This window comes from Homo sapiens, chromosome 3 (assembly GCF_000001405.40).
Source record: "Homo sapiens chromosome 3, GRCh38.p14 Primary Assembly".
Taxonomy (NCBI): domain Eukaryota; kingdom Metazoa; phylum Chordata; class Mammalia; order Primates; family Hominidae; genus Homo; species Homo sapiens.
Window position 1 is genome coordinate 109,825,792 of NC_000003.12, and position 22,482 is coordinate 109,848,273.

Below are 22,482 nucleotides of genomic sequence, written 5' to 3' on the forward strand. Positions count from 1 at the left end.
AAATGTGTCCTCAAATATATTTAACTATACTAGTAGGGATTAAAAATAGAGTAATAGGATTAATCACAAAATAGTAGTTCTCTTGCTTCATACATTCACATGACTTGCAGAAGAACTAACTTCACTAAAATTTCCTTCAAATGATTCTGATAATCCTTAGAAAGTGTGCAATATATGTTCCACTGACCCCCGTACTTGGAAACCCCATGACATTGACTTTTCCTCCTCTTCATCATTGGCCCACTGGGAGAAACATCCTTTCTCGATATGCAAAGCAGGAGCCAGGCTACTGATGAGTCTCAAAGATGCCATTTGTTCTGACACTGATGCCTGCAAACATGCTCTGAGGTTAATAATACACAATGCTCAGGCCATTGATGTTTGCACTAATGGTCTTTGTGACCAACGAATACTTGGCATGAAGTGGTTTCTCTGGCCAACTCTGCTCAAAGTCTCATGATGGGAAGAATGATATCATTATTTGTGATAGCAAGAATCTCTCTCAATCTGTCAATGGCTAATGTTAAGGGTGTTACTCATTAAAGAAATTGTGGTAAAACAGCTTATTTAGGCCCCCTTCTTTTTTTTGTTGTAGTTCCCATTACTTACAATTCAGATATGAGTCCTTTAGATGAGGACTTGTAAGAACAGACCTAACTAGTAAAAAACATGCTCAGTTTACACTTCCTCCTTTGGTCTGATTCTCACTCCTCGTCATGCAACAGAATGTGATTCTGTTTTCCTTTTGGGGGATTCACAGCTTACTAGTCAATGTACTTTATTCTCGTGGTCTAGAAATAGTATGGACATATATGATGACTAGGCAAAAGGGAAACCAAACGTATTAATCCTGATAAGTCTCATCTAAACCTAAAACTGTATTGAAGAACATAAATTAGTTAGAATCCCAAGTAAGCCTTCCCCCACTTTCACTCTATACATAACTCTTGGGATGTAGTTCTTGTAGAACTAGATTAGGTGCTATTAGAAGAGTGTAGAAATCAAGAAACACATGTACGTGTGTGTGTGTGTTTGTGTGTTTTAAAGATGGATGATACTAGAACATATCTGAGTGCTAATGGGAATTACTCAGTAAAATAGGCAAGGCCGAAGGTGCAGGATGGAGGCTGGTGAGCCACTGGATAAATTCCCAGAGATGAGGAGAGGAATGCAGAAGACTGCTGGACATAACCGGCTTTGGACAGTGCGATGGACTCATGTGTTCTTGTCCTTACATTGGGAAGCTTCACTGCTAGAACTCTGCCTATATAATCTTTCTTTTTTTTTTTTGAGACGGGGTCTTGCTCTGTTGCCCAGGCTGGAGTGCAGGGGCACGACTTTGGCTCACTGAAACCTCTGGCTTCCCAGGTTCAAGCAATTCCCCTGCCTCAGCCTCCCAAGTAGCTGGGGCTACAGGTGCATACCACCACGCCCGGCTAATTTTTTGTATTTTTAGTAGAGACGGGGTTTCACCGTGTTAGCCAGGATGGTCTTGATTGCCTGACCTTGTGATCCACCTGCCTCGGCCTCCCAAAGTGCTGGGATTACAGGTGTGAGCCACTGTGCCTGCCTGGCTGCCTATAATCTTTCTATTTCATAGTTGACAACCTCATTTCTACCCTTTCTTTTGGACACTATGCAGTAACACCCTTCTGCTTACCCACCCTGATTTGGTCTAGATGTCCCTCATTTGTATTCACTAAATGGTGAAAGAATACTTTTATTGTAGAGCTTTTCATGTCTATTGTAAATAATAACATTTTTTTTACTTCTCAGTTGCTCCAACTAGGTTGTAAACTCCTTGAGGGCCTTCTCTAATTAGTTTTATTATAGTAAAACGTGCATAACATAAAATTTACCTTTTTAACCATGTTTAAATGTGCGGTTCTGTGGCATTCAGTAAATTTACATTGTTGGGCAACCGTCACCATCATCTATCTCCAGAACTTCCTCTTTTCAATTGAAACTCTGTACCCATTAAACACTAATACCTCCATTCTTCCCTCCCCCAGACCCTGGCAACCAACATCTAATTTGCTTTTACAGACTCAGAGATGAACTTAATGTTTGTCATATAATAGGTGGGCAATAAGTATTTATTCAATACATGAATACAGGTGCTCATTAATCTGTGTTAATTTTCCTGGGAAAATATGGGCCAATGCTTTTATATTTGGAGTTGACTATGTCAACTCCATTATTCTCTACATTAATCAAATGAAATTTAATATACAAAAATTTATTCTAATGACATTGTGCCCTTATTTGATGAAAGAACATTACGATAAAAAAGGACTGAATAAAAGTGGATGACAATCAAAACCCAAAAGATGGATACATGCAAAACAGAGCATTCAGATCATTAAAAAACATAAACACAAAGGAATTCATTTATCAGTAACCTTTACAAGTAAGTACAAGAACAAAAATAATCACCAGTTTCAGAAAAATGCCAAATAAATCACAATGTCAGCCACCATAATTATAGAATTAGGGCAAAGGAAAAAAGGATTACACCAGTGAGCTTTTTTTTGGTTTCAGAGATGTTGTCATTTCATGATTGGGTTGCAGATACTGTTTAGAAGTGGCAATGAAAAACAGGTAGGTTGAACCCAATGAAATTATTTGGTTTTTGTGAATAAACAGAATTAGATTGTTTTTGGAAAAGTAAGAAGTATTATTTCATAACTTTGCAATGCTTTCTTCAATTTTGAGTGGGACAAGCATTTGAAGCTTGAAAGGTACTATTTTTGAATGCAGTGGTGCCTTTGGTGGCATCATATTTACTGGAATTTCTAAAAAAGCATGAGTTTACTGAATACTATAGGTATAGTTGCAATAATAAATAAATGACAACAGGCAAATATTCCTGGAACAAGAAATTCCTGTTGGCACTGGTAAAGCTGAGTTTCTCTGTTTCTTTATGCCTGAGGTATAAATTGGCATTAAGGCTGCTGTGTCAATTCAGCTTTCTTCAAAATACAGGTTAATCTCTTGAATGACATAGAGAAAAAATAATCTAAAGTGAAGTGTCAATTTTCAGTGATGAAAGCCAGTCATGTGAAGTTAGCACACGGTGCCAACAATGAGACAGGAAATCCTGGTCAAGAAGGTTGGAGATTACTAGTGGAGAAAGTAACATTTATGAAATTATGTAAATGTGTGGTTTCAACCCCTGATTCCCTCCAATTTTATAGAATTGTTTTTATAATGCAAAATGATGCTTTAACATTTAGAAAGTCATGTAATCCTATAATTTGGGAAATGGTTTAGATCATTTAAAAGCATTAAACAATAACCTAGACTTACCAAGGTAATGTAGAGAGACGCTAGGCTTTGAATAACTCAGCAGATTTTAGTTTTGCTGCTTACTAGCTGTGAGACTTAGGCTAAGCTCTTTAACTTTGCTAAGTTTTAGTGGCCTTTTCTGTAAAATGAGTAGATTGAGCTAATCAAGTTCTATAAAGTTGTGAAATTTATAAACAGAGCAAATATTAAACTATTAGTTTTTCTTCACACCAAGTTCATCAGAGTTTGGGAGTGACATCAGATAAACAATATTCAACTTACTGAATTGTCTCTCAACTCCCATGTTGTATATATTCCAAATGATCCAGCTGTGTACATCTGACCTATAAAGCATTGACTTACCAACTTTGACTGACAAGCTTAGGTTCATTACATGAGCTCACATACTTAGACACATAGTAGAATTGGGTTCTATTTTTCTCAATTCTGAAGCACAATTTATTGTGCAAAGATTAAACACTTTTCTTCCTGAAGATAATGAGAATTGATTTCTTTACCCCCAATCACAGTTTCAAACTTCAGGAGAGGAACTTTAAATAAATTGGTTTTTAAATCTTATAGTCTCTCTATGTCCTCAAGGGTAAAAAGGTATTATGCTATTTAAATGATGGAAAAGCATGTGCACCTCATTGTACTCCTTTACACAAGTAAATACGACCTCAGGGACCTTAAGCTTTAAAGCAAAAGATTCATCACTATCTTTACCTTGGTAAAGTTTATGAAGATTGAATGTAGAACTCACTTTGCATCTGAGAAACCTTGAACAACTTATGTACAAGAAGCTAAGTTTTTAATTTTTTATTAAAATGTACTCCCCTTTTTAAAAAAAATATAGTTTTAAATTATCTTCATCATATTGTTCAAAATCCCTTATTTTTGTAGATTTCTGCTTGAATTAGATGATAGAGGGAAAAAACAAGTCTGGAGATGAATATGTATACATTTTGTTTTTAGAAAGCCCAGACTTCTTTTTTGCCTTCACTATCAAAACATGTAAAGCAAAATTTAGTGTCCAATTGAATTGACTTGCTTAGTTCTGATAATTAGTATTTTCTTTCTTTAGTTTAAGTTCTTTAGAAGTATGCTCTTCTGGGGGCCGGGTGCAGTGGCTCACGCCTGTAATCCCAGCACTTTGGGAGGCCGAGGAGGGCGGATCACGAGGTCAGGAGATCCAGACCATACTGGCTAACACGGTGAAACCCGATCTCTAGTAAAAATCCCAAAAAAAAAAAAAAAAAAAAAAAAAAATTAGCTGGGTGTGGTGGCGGGTGCCTTTAGTCCCAGCTACTTGGGAGGCTGAGGCAGGAGAATGGCATAAACTTGGGAGGTGGAGCTTGCAGTGAGCCGAGATTGTGCCACTGCACTCCAGCCTGGGCGACAGAGCAAGACTCTGTCTCAAAAGAAAGTGTCAAACTATTTTCTCTATTTTTTAAAAGTGGTTATACAATTTTATGCTTCCATAAAAATGGAAGAGAGTTTCTGTTACTTTACCCTCTCCTTACTTATTTTGATAGGACACTGTTACCATCAGTTTTTCTTTCTTTCTTTCTTTCTTTTTTTTTTTTGAGACAGAGTCTCCCTCTGTCCCCCGGGCTGGAGTGCAGTGGCGCCATCTCGGCTCACTGCAAGCTCCGCCTCCCGGGTTCACGCCATTCTCCCGCCTCAGCCTCCCGAGTAGTTGGGACTACAGGCGCCCGCTACCACGCCTGGCTAATTTTTTGTATTTTCAGTAGAGACGGGGTTTCACCGTGTTAGCCAGTATGGTCTCGATCTCCTGACCTCGTGATCCGCCCCACTCGGCCTCCCAAAGTGCTGGGATTACAGGCGTGAGCCACTGCGCCCGGCCACTATCAGTTTTTCAAATGAGGATTCCTATTTGGGAGTAAAGGGGAAACTCGAAAAATGTAGCAATGGTCAGGGTCTAAGCCTGGTCTTTCGTCATCCCTGTTGCTGCTGAAGTGACCCTTGCACCAATTGCTCTACACGCTCTAGAACTCAAATATTGTAGCAAAATCACCACCTTGGAAATAGCTCCAAATTCATACTTTTTGTAACTATGACAATGTTTCATCATAATATGGATTGTATCAATTTATTATCAGTCCATGTAAGGTGGAAGCACCTATCTCCCTAATCCTCTCATTTCTATAAAGAAGAGTCCCAGCCCTGATACTATTGAAATTTTAGGCTGGATAATTCTTTATTGTGGGATGTTTAGCAGCATTCTTGGCTTCTACACACTGGATTCAGTAGCACCCACCCCCAGAATTGTGACAAACAAATGATCGCCAGATATTGTGAAATCTCCCCAACTGGGGGAGCAAAAATACTCCTTGTTGAAAACCGGTGCGGTTGAGGGTAAACAAAGGGCAGAGTGACTAGTCTATTAGGTGAGGATGAAGAAAACCTGGCTAACAGTTGACACTTTAACCACAGAGAGACTGCGCATTGACACTCAAACCACCTGTGTCCACCTCTTTGTCATTTAAATCCTCCCTCTCGGACCTGCCTGCGACCAGGCACAAATCGGTGCAGGCAAAGTTTTGCTGCAATAGGTCCTTGCTCTGTCAGATGAAGGTCTCACCTGAAAAAGGCCGAGGTGAGTCACGTTGCTTACTCTGAATCTGCATGTCTTTAATTAAGAGGGGAACGTAAAGCTAGGTCCATTTCAGCCTTCAGTGTGAGCTATGCTCTCCAAATCTGCTTTTTCATTAGCAAGGCTATATTTTGATTTGCACCAGCCTTTTGGGCTTTATTTTTCCAATTCTTGGGATCCCACAAGGGACGCCAGGTAATTAATTAGCATCCCACAAATTTCTAACAATTTGAAATAGTGTATATTTTTCTAATCAATAATTACTTTTTCTTCTGTTTTTTTTCCAAAGATGTTCTGGGATTTATCATGATTTGGAGTCTGTGTCTTGATCGTTGGTTTAAACTAAAAAAAAAATAGAGGAAATGTCAATCTACTCACTCTATTCCCTTTATACCAACCTGAACCTAATATTTAGGACCACCAAGGCTAGACATCGTTCAGCCACCTGGCAATTAGTGTGGAAAGGCTGAGGTATCACCTGTTTTCAGAAAACATCAGAGAAGCCTGGCCAGTTTCAGTAGGTGGTGGTCAAGGTATATCTTGTCTGGTGAATAAACCGTACATAGTTTTCAACAACCTGAAAACTTCCAATTAATATAAGGCCTGAAGGAAAGAAGTTGAAAGCAGCAGGCTATGTTAGATTAGGCAAGAGGGTAGTCATACTCAAAGGATGAGTGCTGTCCTAACTTGAAGAGGAGTTGCTACGTTCTGTGCCTCTCACTCGATCCACAACACTAGAGAAATACACGTAAGGAGTCTCAGACAGGTACTCAGAAAAAGACACATGGAGACACACACAGACACTCACAAATAAACACAGTTACTCACAGATAGAACCACATATACAGAGTTTATTTTCTCCGTGGGACTATTACTTACACTGTATCCACACTCATCACCAAATTAACCATCTGAATGAAGTCAGGCTGTACTTTGAATCTCGAAAATATTGTTAACTATTTAAGGTTTTCAATGTTTGGGCACTGATCTTTTCCTTCTTAGTATCAATAGGTACCCCTTAATGGAATACAAAAGTGTTTCCAAAATAATAATAATGTTCTCTCTAAATTAGATTGTATGCTGCATGAGAGAAGAGACTTTGTTTTATAATTGCCATTGTATCTATCACAGCACACAAAAAGTCTGAGAATAAAAGATTTGATAGAGTGGAGTGATGGTGGGGACTTAGAGGATGACATATGAGTGCCACAGTGATTCCACAGATTTATTTAGTGTTCATTCAACACTAAATAAATAAATAAGCAATTTCTATGTCATAGGCATTGTGCAAATTTTCAGGAATATTATATATAACAGATAAGAGACATGGTCTTCATGTTCTTACAATTTACAGTCTAATGGTGAATCCATTACAAAAAAGTTTTCAAAATAAAGTGAAAACCAGTACTCTGTGATTTCAACAATTAGCATTTACCTTTTTAAAGTAATATTATTTCCTCTTTTACCTACTAACTTATTACACAAAATATAAAACTAGTATTAGCATCTGCCTAAGTCTAACTTTTTTAAAATGTAAAATAGCAGAGTAATATATAACATCACATACACACCAAAATGCCATTTATATTTAACCAAACTTTTCATAAATAAATAATATAATGACACTGTAAACAAATCAGTGCAGTCTGTTGCTTGCTTTGTAAATTGAGTGATATTTACATGTAGCACAAGTTAGCATATTAACACACAAAACAATTCTCCAAATGAATGTAAAAGATTTGCTGCCCAGTTTAATCTGATAAGTAGTTGTAAAACAAATGTTACCTTTAATGTTATAAATTAAAATATAAGATTGCCGGCATTAACCTGCTTAATGTTGGTGCAAACTGAAGATAATTGACTTCTATTCAAAGGATCATAAGGATTACAAAAGATTATACTGACACCCTTGTAAACTGTAATTATCACCTTCCATTAATGATAACATGACTTTATATAAGTCTATTTCTCTGCTAATTAACTATAATTGAGATAATAATGCATGAGATAAATGGATTTTTTTTGGTTTAATCTCGTATAGCTCCACAATGCATACATTTTCAATTTTATTTTATTTTATTTTATTTTATTTATTTTATTTTATTTTATTTTTTGAGACACAGTTTCTCTCTGTTGCCCAGGCTGGAGTGCAATGGTGCGATCTCGGCTCAATGCAACCTCCGCCTCCCGGGTTCAAACGATTCTCCTGCCTCAGCCTCCCGAGTAGCTGGGATTACAGGCACCCACCACCATGCCCAGCTAATTTTTGTATTTTTAGTAGAGACGGGGTTTTACTATGTTGGCCAGGCTGGTCTCGAACTCCTGACCTTGTGATCCACCCTCCTAGGCCTCCCAACATTTGTTTTTTAGTATAAGCTCATTAGCTAGTTTATGTACTAAATATAACAAGAACAGATTTTTTTGTTAAGCATCAGCCACAGCTTCTGGGGTGAGAGAAGCTGGAAGCAGAGCTGGGGTTCTCAGCACTTGGGGAGGCCCATCTGTTCAGCCAATGGGGTGAGACAGCCAGTGGCTCTTAAGAAAAATGCATGTGGACACATTCACCAATTAGAGAGCTAACTAACCTAATGACAGCTGAGCTAATCAGAATCACAGTCCTTTGAAACCCGTGGTTGGATTTACTTTTCCTTTGATACTCAAGTTACCATTGTCAAGTTGCATACTCAATGTTGTCCACCTGAGGATTCAGACTGTATGCCATTTCTCCAGCAACTACAGTCCTATTTTTTGTAAGTCCATTTTCCTCATAAGAATCTAGCCATGCACTGGCCAAGATAAAATTAATGAAAAAATGTATATTTACAATGTGAGGGTGATAAGAATTAATAAAGTAGCAAATTCTCACTTGTCTCAAGACAATTATTGTTCAAATAACAAATTCAGGTGGTTATAGCAAAAAGGAAATCTGGGATAATCATCCTGGATTATACTAAATGCGAAAGAGATGAATAATATGAATTTCTCAGAAATGGTTGAGAGAAGAAAATTGGCTGAATAAAGGACAGTTTGCGATATTTTCAAGTAAGTTGGGGAAGCTGCAGGGTTTTCATGGCTAAAGAGTGCAGAGTGTCATCAGGATATTAGTCCAGAGGGGCTAATTACAGGGGATGTAGACATGGCCCTGAGAGTGGATGATGAGAGAGGGATTCCTGTCATCTCTGAAGATGGCTATCATTTGTTGAGTCTCTATTGCATGCCAAGTGACTAAACCTCAGAACAATCCCGATGTTGAGAGTATTTATAGATGAAGAAACAGGCTTAGAGAGGTTAAGTTCCTCATACAAGGTCTCATATCTGGGATATGAAGAAACCAGGATTTGGCCCTAAACAATTTGCTCAAAACATATGAGTGCTCATTACACTATAATACAAAATATCCTTTGATTAGTTCTGCCTAAGGCTCAACTAACTTCTGTCCTTACTTAAGTATATGTATTGGGCATTTGTAATTTTTTGACTGAATAGTATTGAATTCCATATTACTAAAAGCATCCTGAGCTCACCCTGGAGTACTCTTTCATTTGTATATAGTCTTGGAGAAAGATACCAGTCCTTCCATTCCTTGTCCTTGTATGGATGGAGAAAGAGGAACTAGGAACATACTTGGGTTTAGCAAATTGAATGCTTCTTTGTAAGACTTTGACTTTTGAGAGTGAAGCCAGCAAACAACTGGGGACTTATTGCTCACAGTGGGGTTCAAATCAGACGCTGCTACTGGTTTATATTTGCTGCCCTAACTCCTAAGGATCTTTTGATTCCTGATTGTTATCCAATACTAGCTCTCAGCCTATTGTTGATTCAACTGAGTTCATAGCCTTCCAGTATATTCTTTGTGTGCTTAGGTTAATCAGAGTCAGTTTCTGTTGCTTATAACCAAGAACTCTAACAAATATTATGACACAGAGTCTGTTTTATCTCCTTGTCCAAAGCAAAGGCAACAGTAAAATGGAGAAAGAAAGAAATAAAGAAAATGTATAAATCTTAAAAATAAAGGGACCATTTCTTTAAGAAGAAGTAACATGTGAATTTTTATATCTAAAATTTCTCAGTAGATGATTAATAACAGAAGGAAAAAAACTGAATTCAGAGACTACAAGTATTAACCTCACTGAATCTATCTCTAAGAGTCAGAGCAAAAGCCACCAAAAGAGAACTTTTTTGAACTGAACAGAATAAGCACATCAGTATCACATTTTTAGAGTTTCGGATTTTCTAAAGCTCTTTCTAAAAATTGATTTGATATTTAGTATCTAATACAGATGGTCCCTGACTTATGATGGGTTGATTTGCAATTTTTCAGTTTTATAATGGTGGAAAAATGATACACATTCAGTAGAAACCATACTTCAGATTTTAAATTTTGATCTTTTCTCAGGCTAGCAACATGTGGTAAGATACTCTCTCACTATGCTGGGCAGCAGCAGGAGCCTCAGCTCACAGTCAGCCACAGGATCACAAAGGTAACCAACATGTACTCCGTAGTGTACTGTTGCCAAATGACTTTGCCAAACTGTAGGCTAATGTGAGTATTCTGAGTATGTTTAAGGTAGGCTAGGCTAAGTTATGATGTTTGGTAGGTTAGGTGTATTGAATGCATTTTCAGCTTAAGACATTTTCAACTTAATGATGGGTTTCTTGAGAAGTGACTTCATCATAAGTTGAGCAGTATCTGTTTTTGATCTTTCTTTTCTTTCTATTTTTCTCTTAGGTACTCTCCCATCTATTTAAATAGCATTATTGCTCTCTTGGTACTATATTTTTTTCCACAAATAATTGATTTTTACTAAATTAATATTTGACCTTTGGAATAAAAATCATATAATTGGATATGCCTTTAATATGCATATACCATTCTAATTCATTACAGTGAAGTCAGTCAGGGTAGTGATTTTGCTTTGAAATGAATGAATGAATTTCAATAAAGGATCCAGGATTCTGCTCAGGAAAATCGTGGAGAAACAGCTTCTTTCATGACCTTTTTGATATATTACTTTTGAATTTTGATTTTTATTGTTTACAAAGTGATTTCAGTACATGATTTCATTTGGGAACGGCATCACAACCAGCAGAGAAAAAAGTTGTTGAAAATCTCTGGAGGAAACAATTAAAATACCTTCTACCATAAAACCTTCAGATGGGGGTAAAATCTCAGCCTTCTGGGCATAAGTGGTTGGTTGAGATTAACTCTTGTTACTGGATTTAAAACTTAACTATTTTTTAATGAAATAGTTAGTCCTAAAATTGTGGTGTATATTTCTCTAGCTTCTTAGGCAGACTATGCCTGCTTAAGGGTTCCCTTTCCTACGTTCAACTCCAGAAAACTGTTTCTGCATTTTATCAGTATATGATAGCTCCGGTAGTTCTTCAAGGACTAGAAGAGTATCATATCTTGCTTTTTAATTATTTTATTTACTTTTTTTTTTTTTTTGAGACAGGGTCTCACTGTGTCACTCAAGCTGGAGTGCCATGGTGCAGGCTTGGCTCACTGCAGCCTTGACCTCTCAGGGCTCAGGTGATCCTCCCACCTCAGCCCCCCGAGTAGCTGGGACTACAGGCATGCAACACCAAACTGGCTAATTTTTGTATGTTTTGTAGAAATGGGGTTTCACCACGTTGCCCAGGCTGGTCTTGAACTCCTGGGATCAAGAGAGCTGCCTGTCTCGGCCTCCCAAAGGGCTAGGATTACAGTCGTGAGCCACCACATCTGGCCACATATTGGTTTTTTTTTAAGGAGCAATTCTCCTTCTATTTTCTTTAGTTTGTTAGTTCTAAAAGGGATAACAGTAGAGCAGAGGGGTAAGTGTGAAAGCCCTTGGAGTCAAGTCAGCTGGGTTAAAAACCATTGTTTTATCATTTACTAACCATGTGATTTTGGCTGTGAAATCTAGGCCATGTTAGTTAATTTCTCTGTCTCAGTTATGTTAGTAGTAAATTGGTGATCACAGTACATCTAACTCAGAAAACCATTCATTTATTCTTTGAACACATGTTATGAACTATTTAATACCAGGTATTGGGGATATAGAATTAAAAAAAAGGGGCAATAACACTTGTCCTCACGAAGCTCACACTCTACTGGGTAATTGCTAACCAACACTTATTTGACGCATAGAATGTCAGGCATTGTTCTAAATGCAATATTCATATATAATACATCAATATTCATATATATATAATATATGTCTATTATTAAATACACACACACTACGTATATACATGCACTCTCACTTAAACTTGACAACCACAACCACTTCATGGGACAGATAATAAAAACTGATATTTCTATTACTTTAAGCATATTACCTGTAGGCATTAAGTAACTTGCTCAAGATCCCACAGGATTAGAAGAAAATATGTAAAGTGCTCAGAGAATTGCCTGTTACAAAGAAAGAGACAGATATATAGATAAATTCATTTTTGCTTAATATTGTTATGTATTTTTCCTTCAAAAATGTGAAAGTATTCAAACAACACAGAAATATGTGAAGTAAAAAAAAAGAGTCATTTCTACTGTTAAGTGTTTGGCTTTTAACTTATATGACATAATATCAAATAAACATTATAATATTTGTAATATCCTCCCTACCATTAAGAGTTTGGCTTATAATTTATTTGATGGACTTCTCTTCCTTGGTCATATGTGAAATTAAGTCCCAGAATTTAATAAGCCAAAAATCTAATTACAATCAGTATTCATCTAGGAAATATCAAGTAATATCTGATATCAAAGAAAATCACCAGTAGGAAAGAAATAGCTTGTAGAAGGAGCAGTATAAGGGGATAAGCAATTTCATAATTTGCATTTTTTCATTCACCTTCTCATAAGGATGATACTATGAAATATCTCTTTTCTCTGTAGTACAGAAAAGAAAGCTTTTCTTTTGCCTAATTAGATTGACTACCAATGAATTGTGAACTTTAAATATAAGTAGTTATTTAGTTAACAACATACTTCAGGGCATATGCTCATTTTTATGTATGAGAAGTCACAATCATAACTCTCATGGAACCAAGAGAAGAATTATTCTCTCCATCTTTTACACATTTTATACCAAAATTGCCTGAGAACCTAGCTCTAATTTTTACTTTCTTTCTTCCATTTTCATTCAGCCCAACTAAAAGGCAATAAATTTCATTTTACATAAATTAGTGTTTTGCTATTGTAATTAACAAGAAAATACTCTTGGTAACATGATTAACTAATAAAAATCCCCTCAAATTTTTAAAACACTAATAGTCTTTCTCTGCTTTTTAAATAAGTAAATGCTTATTGAAGAACCATAAACCAAATGAAAATGTAATCTTTCAAGGTGAGATAATACTTAATAGGTACCATATAGGCCTAAACAGAACTGTGTGCAAATGTGAACTATTATATTCCAGATGTTACCTAGTAAAAGAGAGGGTACTATTGTGGGAAAAATATGGTGTGTGCATAAAAAGCGATGTTCAAAGCAATCAGGACAGAGATAGAATTCAAGAGCTTCTATTAGTATTTTTTAGTCTAATAAATGGAAAGACATAAGGCTTTACTAATATTTAATATGTTAATAACATTAAAAAAGAGCTAAAAATAATCCCTGTGAATAAATTTGCATTGAAGATAAGCAGAAGTAAAGATAAAATAGAGAAAACAATGTTTCCCCCATTCCAATGTCCTCTTCATCAACCACATTAAGAGGTAGAACAATTACCCCATCACATCTGTCATGAAGCTCCTTTAAAAATGAAGCTATAAAGATTATTTGAAGTGTGGATTCACATCTACATCATTAATAATGAAACTCACCCTAGATGTGTCTTGTGCCTTGAAATATTAGTAATTCTTGAGATATTAGCAAGACATCTTGTCCCTAGGTAGATATAGTGTATAATGTATGTATAACATGTGCACACACACAGACACACACACATGCACTAGGAATACTTTTCCACATTTTTTTTTCCTGCACAATCAAAAAAATTTGGAGAACATTCATCTTGTGAGGACAATAGCCATTCTGCCTTTTTATTGAAGGATGAATTTATCAGAAGGAAGGTACCATATACACCAGAGGTTGGAGGTGCATCTTCTTTGAGCCAAATCATTCACAGAAATATTTTAAAGCAGCATACACAGTATTTTTTTTTTTTTTACTTAGTTGCTTACATTTAAAACTCTTGGGATTTTTGCATTTTAAAAATACGGATTTTTTTTCTCTTGCAAAGTCCTGCCAATAATATGCATGCTTTTCTGCATGGGAACCATCTTCAGAGAGCATTCTTTGAAGTTCTCTACAGTTTCCATTACTCCCTATAGTATTATACCCTACTTGTTTTACTCATTTACGTTGCTGTTTGCTTTGGAGTCTGTGAACTCCCCTTTTGAATGCAGAGGAGACCCTGTGTGAAAGTTTAGATGTTTGTCTCTTGTAAACCTCTTGTTGAAATTTGACCTTCAAGGTTAGAGATAGAGCCTAATGGGAGGTGTTTGGGTCATGAGGGTGGATGCCTCTTGCATAGACTATTACTCTCCCTGAGGGTGGGCAAGGAGTGAGTGAGTTTTTGCTCTATTAGTTCCTGAGTAATCTGATTGTTAAAAGGAGTCTGGCATCTCCATTCCCCCTGCACCTTTGCCCCACTGTCTCTTACTTCTTCTGTCAACATGTGATCTCTGCACATGTTGGCTCCTCTTTACCTTCCACCATAGTGGAAGCATCTTGAGGCCTTCACCAAAAGCAGGTGCTGATGCCATGCTTCCTGTACAACCTGCAGAACTGTGAGCCAAGTAAACCTCTTTCCTTTATAAATTATCCAGTCTCAGGTATTCCTCTGTAGTAACACAAATGAACTAAAACACCCTGGAAGAGGATAGAGCCATCAGAAAGTAGAAGTCTGATACAAATGTGGTATCCCTTATCCAAAATGCTTGGGAACAAAAGTGTTTTGGATTTTGGATTTGTTTGGATTTTGGAATATTTGCCTATACATAATGAGATATCCTGGGAATGGGACCAAGCCTAAACATTAAATTTATGTATGTTATATATACACCCTATATATATAGTCTGAGCATAATTTCATACAACATCTTAAATAATTGTGTGCATGAAACAAAGGTTTGTCTGTGACCTGTCACATGAGGTCAGGTGTAGAATTTTCCATTTTAAATGTCATGGCATCAGGTAGGTGCTCTAAAAGTTTTGGAGTTTGGAGCATTTTGAATTTTGGATTTTTGGGTTAGAAATGCCCAAACCATACCTAAATTACCATGTAGAAAGCTTTCTGTATTTCTGCTGTGATAAGCTAGAAAGATTTGGGCAGCTCTTCTTGTTGCAGCAATAAGCAGCAGCACAGTGACAACTACATGCTAATATTTCTGAAATTCCTATGTCATGTTCTGATGAATTTAGAAAGCACTGTTATGTTTACAGATAAATGTCACAGAAAAATAATTAAACAAAATTGCATCTGCAGATACAGTTTGTTCACGTTAAAAAAAAAACTAGATAAGGAAAAAATTATTTGTTGTCAAATTAGTTACTTTTTATTTTTAGAAAATAAAACTAAACAATATCAGTGAGGTGTTTATGAATCATTAACAAAGTGGAAAATTAAATCATGGCTCTGCATCTCTGTTACATTAAAGAGTTAAAGACTTTTAAAAATAAAATAAAACACACTTAAGGTCATGTGTAAAATTCTGAAACTCATGAAATTTCTATAACTGGGTTAACAAAATTATTTTATCTCTTTCTACTCCCAGATTTTTGTCCTCTTTTATTTTTAGTGTCTGTAGATGCAACACCTTAACAAACATGGAAGATAAAGTACATAATGGTTCTTTGTAGATGAAATAAATTAAAAACATGTATTTGCCAGGGGATAGGCTTTAGAAAAACCCCAGGTAGCAGATTATTGTCAAAGACGCTTTATTTCAATATAAAATGTGACAGTAAAAAAGAAATTAGTCCAACCCTGCTCAACTTGAAAGGGGAATAAATATGTCAGAATGAAGCTGTCCCAGCATGTGTGCTGTGTATTTAGTGGGAGAAATAGACTCAATCTTATGTATGGGAAATGTGTGTATCGATTGTTTTTACCTGGCAAGAAGTGTATGTACCTGGGTGTGCATGTGTGTGTGTGTGTGTGTGTGTGTGTGTCTTGGGAGTGAGTATAAGGAAGGGTGTGAGGTTAGTTTGCATATGTAGAGGCCAGAATAGAGTTGATCAGTCATAGAAACTGGACAAACTGAAGGAAAATGTCAGGTGAGAAGGAGAAGGGAATTGGAGTGGGGCATTAAGGCAGAAACTCTGGAAGGGACTTGCTGGTCATCTTCAGTCATACAATTGCTTACTAGGGGAGAATTATCTGGAATCTGAGGCAACACTGAACCAAGATCAGATGGACAGAGGGTCAAACTGCAGAATGAGCCCTGCTCTAAATCAGCACTGTGACATCTTTAACTTTGCTCACAGCCTCTCCAACTCACTGATTTTTACTTGCTTCTTTGAAGCACCATGGGATTTCCCAACCCTCACAAGAAAGAGGTGATTGCCTGCTCTAATATACCTTAGGTCCCAACAAGGAAATATTCATAGGAGCACTGTATTAAGAAAAAGTCATACTAGATCACTTACAGAGCTTCTTTTGTCTTTTTTGAGCATGAGATTATAATTTTAAAAAAATTCAGTATCTGTAGGATTTGGATTTGGAGTAGTTCCATCAATTGCAGTGGGTTTCCCACTGATTGAACTCAACCTCAGGTAATCTCCAACACTCCTTTGTACTCAGAAAGTTCTATATATTTCTTACAATTTTTTTTTTTTTTAGGAGATGAACTAAGTAACTTCAGGATATTTCTTGCAGCATACAAATTTAACGAGTCTTAAAGTAAATGACTTTTTAGGAGGGTATTAAAGTTTCCAAAACTTTACTATTTTTTATTCATACCTTTTTATTTATTAATTTGTTCACTAATTTAGCAGATAGTTGTTGAACAAATGCATTACTCTGAGTACTGGGAGTTCTAAGATGAGAGGATGTAATATCTAACCCCCAAGAATCCACAAGATTAACAAGCAGAACACAGATTTGCTAAGTACTTTGGAGGCATCTCAATTTAAATCACTCAAGTCCTGTGAGTTAGGTTGTACAGAAAAAGCAGAAAAAATTAATTGACTTGAGATATTACTTGGATTTTAGTCTCCATAACATTTCTTAAAACATTTCCTTTTAAACCAGCTTTCTCGGTTTATTGTTGTTTTGTCCTTATTGGTTAAAATAGAAATTTAAATACGTAGGATCTTGAAGGCATGTGAATTAACTTTATTTGCCATCAATCCAAACATTTGAAAGTATTTTCACCTGTTATTACTAATATGGAAGTGTTACCATGTTGAAAGGCCTACAGAAATATTTGAGTTGGAAAGATTGTCAAGTATGTCCTTAAAATAAGGTTTAAGAGTCACTTTTCCTTGCTAAAATGATAAGTTATTGACAAAAAGAGCACCTCAAACTATCTATGATTCTAAAATCATTGTCTTTATTTACACCATTCCAAAATAACCTCTAAATGATGCTAATAAAGAGGTTTCGTGATCACATAGGAATTTTATGTAATATATTCAACTTGCTCTCAACATTTCCTGAAGGAAAATCTTCTAGAAATCTCTTTGTTGGCTCAGATATTTGAATATAATCTAGGAAAGAGTAATGAACGGTAATCATGGCTACTAATGTACATTAGGACTAAGGGAAAAGAAGGAAAGATTGTATATGTTGTTTGAAAAATTTTAAGTGAAATAATTCAGAAACAGTAAGTTAAATACCGCATGTTCTTACTTATAAGTGGGAGCTAAATAATTTGTTCACATGGACATAGAGAGTGAAATAATAGACAGTGGAGACTTGGAAGGGTGTGAAGGTGGGTGGGGGGTTAGAGATGAGAAATTATTCAATGGTACACGCTGGGTGATGGTTACACTAAAAGCCTAGACTTCTCCATTATGCAATATACCCATGTGACAAAACTGCATTTGTACCTCCTAAATCTATAAAAATAAAAAAATATATTAGGAGGCTGAGTCAGCTCTATTGCCTTGGGCTTACTTAGGAGGTAAGCAAATTAAAACTCAATTCAATGTAAATAGTAAAATAAAACAAGCTTAACCAATCAGAAATCACTAACTAAACTCGAACTAGATACTTTAACCAGTCAAATATTTTCTTTGTCTTGCTTCCTTAAACATGTTTAAAAAAAAACCCTTTCCTCCCACACTCCTTTAGGTGGAGCCCAACCGTTTGTGAGTCTGGCACTGCCCCAATTCATTAATTTCTGCTGGAATAAATTCTTTAAACTTTTCATATGGCTATGTTTATCTTAAAAATGCATATGCCGGCCAGGCACGGTGGATCACGACTGTAATCTCAGCACTTTGGGAGGCCGAGACGGGAGGATCAGTTGAGGTCTGGAGTTTAAGACCAGCCTGGCCAACATGGTGAAGTCTCATCTCTACTAAAAAAACAAAAAACAAAAACAAATAAAATACAAAAATTAGCAAGGCATGGTGATGCGCATCTGTAGTCCCAACTACTCAGGAGGCTGAGGCACAAGAATCACTTGAACCTGAGAGGTGGAGCCAAGTTCATTCCACCACACTCCAGCCTGGGTGACAGAATGAGACTCTGTCTTAAAAAAAAAAAAATTCATATGCTGTGTATGTTTATCTTAAAACAAAACATATTTAACATTCATTACAGTAATAAAGTCTAGATGCTTTCAGGAAGACTGCATTTGTATGTATTTTAGTAAATAGATGATCACATATGACACTTTAAAATAGATTATATTTTCATTAAAATAACTGGATTTATGAGTCCACGCAACAGGGTATCACATAGTAATTTATATTAAAGGGAACAACATATTGTTCAAATAATATTTATAGTTTTGGCCCAAAATTTATAGGTTTATTTTGTTCTTTAATTGGTTTTTAATTCAATAATGTCATAATATGAAGATAAAGAGAAATAAATGATTGGTTCCACGTATTTGTTCTAGTGATGCAATTTTTCTTAAAGAGAAGCTTAAGAAAGTTCTTGTCATAATGCAGAGAGACAAGAACTTAGATCAGCAGACTGAATAGAAGGAAAGAAGTGGTAAAGCATAGTGGTTAGAGGCTGGGCTGTGGGGACACACCTTCTAAATTCAAATCCCAGCTGAGTTATTTTCTACCTGTGCAACTTTAAGCAAGAAACTACCTCTCAGTGAATCAGTTTTCTCATTTACATGTCATAGTACCCCATAGGTCTATTAGAAGATGAAATGAGTTTCTTACTGTTCTTATTATTACTCCAGCTACTACCACCACCACCTTCATCATTGCTACTGCTGCTACTGCTGTAAGATAACTAAGAAAGAGTTGAATTTTTTAGAAGTCAACTAAGGCAGAAATTGTCACATGGATGTCATAATTCTAAAGTAATAGTGTACAGAGCCTAATGTAGTCAAAGATTTAGGAGTAGTGTAAACAAGTTAGGTGGTGAGCTATAGAAGAGGTTCATATTTGGATGTCTAGTTTATGGTCTGTCAGGCTCCTCTAGACCCAATGTTTCAGCTGTGGCTGCATGGTAAGTGTTTAACCAGGATGGGGAAAAATAGAAGTATTGAAGTCAGTATGTGGTCTGCATCCAATTCTTATCAAATGAGATTCTTAACCACAATAACTTAGTTTTCTTGTCTTTAAGATGAAGGTGTTAGTAGAGGACTCTAAGGTCTGAGCTTTAGTATTCCGACTTCTTAGGAGGTACATGATTTGCTCATGTCTACACGGTTTGTGAGTCTTAAGAGTTAGAACTCAAACCAAGTGTGTAAAAACATTATAAATGTATTGAAATAATATTAATCTTCATTAACTTTAGTTTGGAGATGCCTTAGTACTCAAATAGAAACATAAAGTTAACAAAATCACAAACATCTGATAGTCATAAGGTGATTAAGAGTCTGAGTTTGGATTTATTCCTCACTGTGCAGTATTTCAAATTGGGGCACTAGGTCCAAAAGATTGCCTTGACTTAAAAAGAGAAAACAGAGCACTGTTCTTGGCTGGGTTTAGTAAATAGCTTAAAAGAGACGAACAAAATGCCACTTCCTGAGATTTTCATCACTACGCTTTCAGCTCTCTGGGGTCTAAAAGGTACAGGGGAAGTTTTAGCAGACCTTCACCATTAGTAAGTGGTATGCATGGTGATGGAAATTAGCTTGACATATCTCAGGGAACTTAGGGTTGACAGAGATAAGTTTTGGGTCTAGTCAAATTGAGGGAGGCTTCATATCAGTCATACCATTCTAAGTTGAACCTTAACAATTGAAAAAGTATTAAGTGAAAAAGTTACCTTTGGGTATATTTTATTACTTTTTAAAAGTAATTGCTGCCTCTCCCACTCTGTTGACATGAGCCTAGACTTTGTGTCTTGCTTTGGTAAATGAAATGTGAGTAATGTGATGTGTTTCACCTTATAGAAGAAAATTTACAGGCTCTCGCCTGATTCCACCGCTGCTCTTTTCCCTCTGCCATAACAATAACATGTCACTGACAGAGATTGTTGCTATAGTGCGGGACCCCAAATAGAACAAATCAAGGTGGACAAGTAATAAAAATAAATATAAGCAAGATATAAACTTGTTGTTGAAAGTCATTGAGATTTGGGGACAGTTTGTTGTTATAGGGTAAGCTAGGAGAGCCCATTTAATACACTCTTCCTCCAGCAAAGATACTTCTATTTGGTTATATTTAGAGGTATTGTTCTTGGTAAAACAATCTTTTGGCGGGCAATCTCTGTGTCAATCTGAATTTACTATTAAATTTTTGCCCAAAATATCAATATGTTCTCAATAAGAACCATTTGCCTAATAGACATAATCAGAAATGATGCAATTTTTTTCCACTATAGCCCAAGTTAATTATAAATCGGAGTAATAGTTCATTTGGCATAGAATGGGCATGGAAATAGAAAGGCGTTTTTTTTTTTTTCTTTCTGAAAAAAAGAAGCCTTCGTTGAAAGTTAAATGCAATGAAATTAATTTTGCAATTATTTATATTGATGCTTGGAATCAATGCTTGGATTAATTGACATGTAGTTTCTGTTTCATCTTCCATGACTGTTTCATTACTTTTTGAAGAGGTAGACTGGCATTCCTCATGCCCTTTGAACACAAAGAGAAAACATTTTCAGCATGATGAATGACAGCTGTAAATGAAATGGCTCAGCAAAAGTAAATCCAATTTACTTTCTTTGAAAGTACAAATAGTTTGAATAACCACAAAGTTTACAATTATGGTTGGCTAATCTTTGATTCTGTCTCACTCTTCTCATATAGCATCTTTTTTGAGTCTGGGGCATTATTCCAGAGAAACAATTCCAAACAGTAATGAATTAGTTCTAAACAAGAAAAGTAATCAGAGCCTTTAGAAAAAATTAAGAGAAATTCAGGGCTGGAAAACATAAGTGGACAAAAAATTCACAAGAGCTTTTCAAGATAATAATATATTACCTTGATACCCATTGATGGTACTCATTTATAATATTTTGGAAGAAAGTTTATAAAAGCAATGTGCTGTTATGTCTATAGATTCAACCTCAAGGTTTGACCTTTTGATCTTTTTAGATCTGTTTTACAGAGGCTGATGAAACCCACTGCTCACTGAGAAAAAAAGAATAAAGTCATAAATAATCTGGTTTATCACTGAAACTGCTTCTGATTTAAAGATAATAAGGTGATATTAGTCAGGTTAGGGTAGCCTTATGCTGTAGTAAACAATTCAAAAATTACTACTTCTTATTCATACAACTATCCCATTCAGATCAGCAGGGACTTCTGTTTAACCTAGTCACTCAGGGACACAGGTTGTTGAAGAATTTACCGTTTCTCCTGTAGAGACAGCATCTGGAACACAGGATTCCCAAATTTTTCAGATAGCACAGCCAGAGAGATGAAATGCTGGAGAGATTTTCACGAGAAGTTAAAATGTTTTGGTCTAGAAGAAATGCATGAAACAATTAGCCAAAACGATTGCATGGCCTTGATAAATTCAGAAAAGTGAGGAAATAAAATTATCCTCCTGTTGACCTAGAAGAAGAAAATGAGCTATAAAGCAGCTCTAGAGAGCTTGACTATAGAAGTGAGGAGACCAACCTTAAAAAACCTACTGACCTTGCAATGAAAAGGCATGATAACCAGACAAATACAATGAAATAATGTACCATTATTGTAAGTAGAATTTGGGAGAATCTATAAACCAGAATAGAATATTTGCCTTAGAGAACTGTCTTTACAGCTGTGTCTTAAAAACCAGTCATTTATCCATTGTTTTGAAACTTATGTTTTGATTCTAAGGTATTTTAAATGTTGTTATTAAACTGGAAAACAGATCATGGCATTTTCAAAAAATCAGCAGCCTGTATCTGTAGTCAAGCTTTTTAAATAGAAAGAATTATAGTAACAAGAAAAGGAATACTTTTCCAATATATGGGTATTGTCATTGGTAGGAATAAAATAAGAAGAAAATTGGTGG

General features: G+C 36.0%; 1 long non-coding RNA gene across 1 annotated transcript in view; it reads left to right on the top strand.

Annotated features, from left to right (window-relative positions):
- The window catches only part of LOC124906267 (uncharacterized), a 188,134-nt gene extending 177,768 nt beyond the window's left edge, over positions 1-10,366 (top strand). Inside the window, exon 3 of the long non-coding RNA XR_007096002.1 lies at positions 10,302-10,366. This is a non-coding gene — a long non-coding RNA (uncharacterized LOC124906267). The remainder of the gene's footprint in view (positions 1-10,301) is intronic.
- The last annotated feature ends 12,116 nt before the right edge of the window (positions 10,367-22,482 follow it).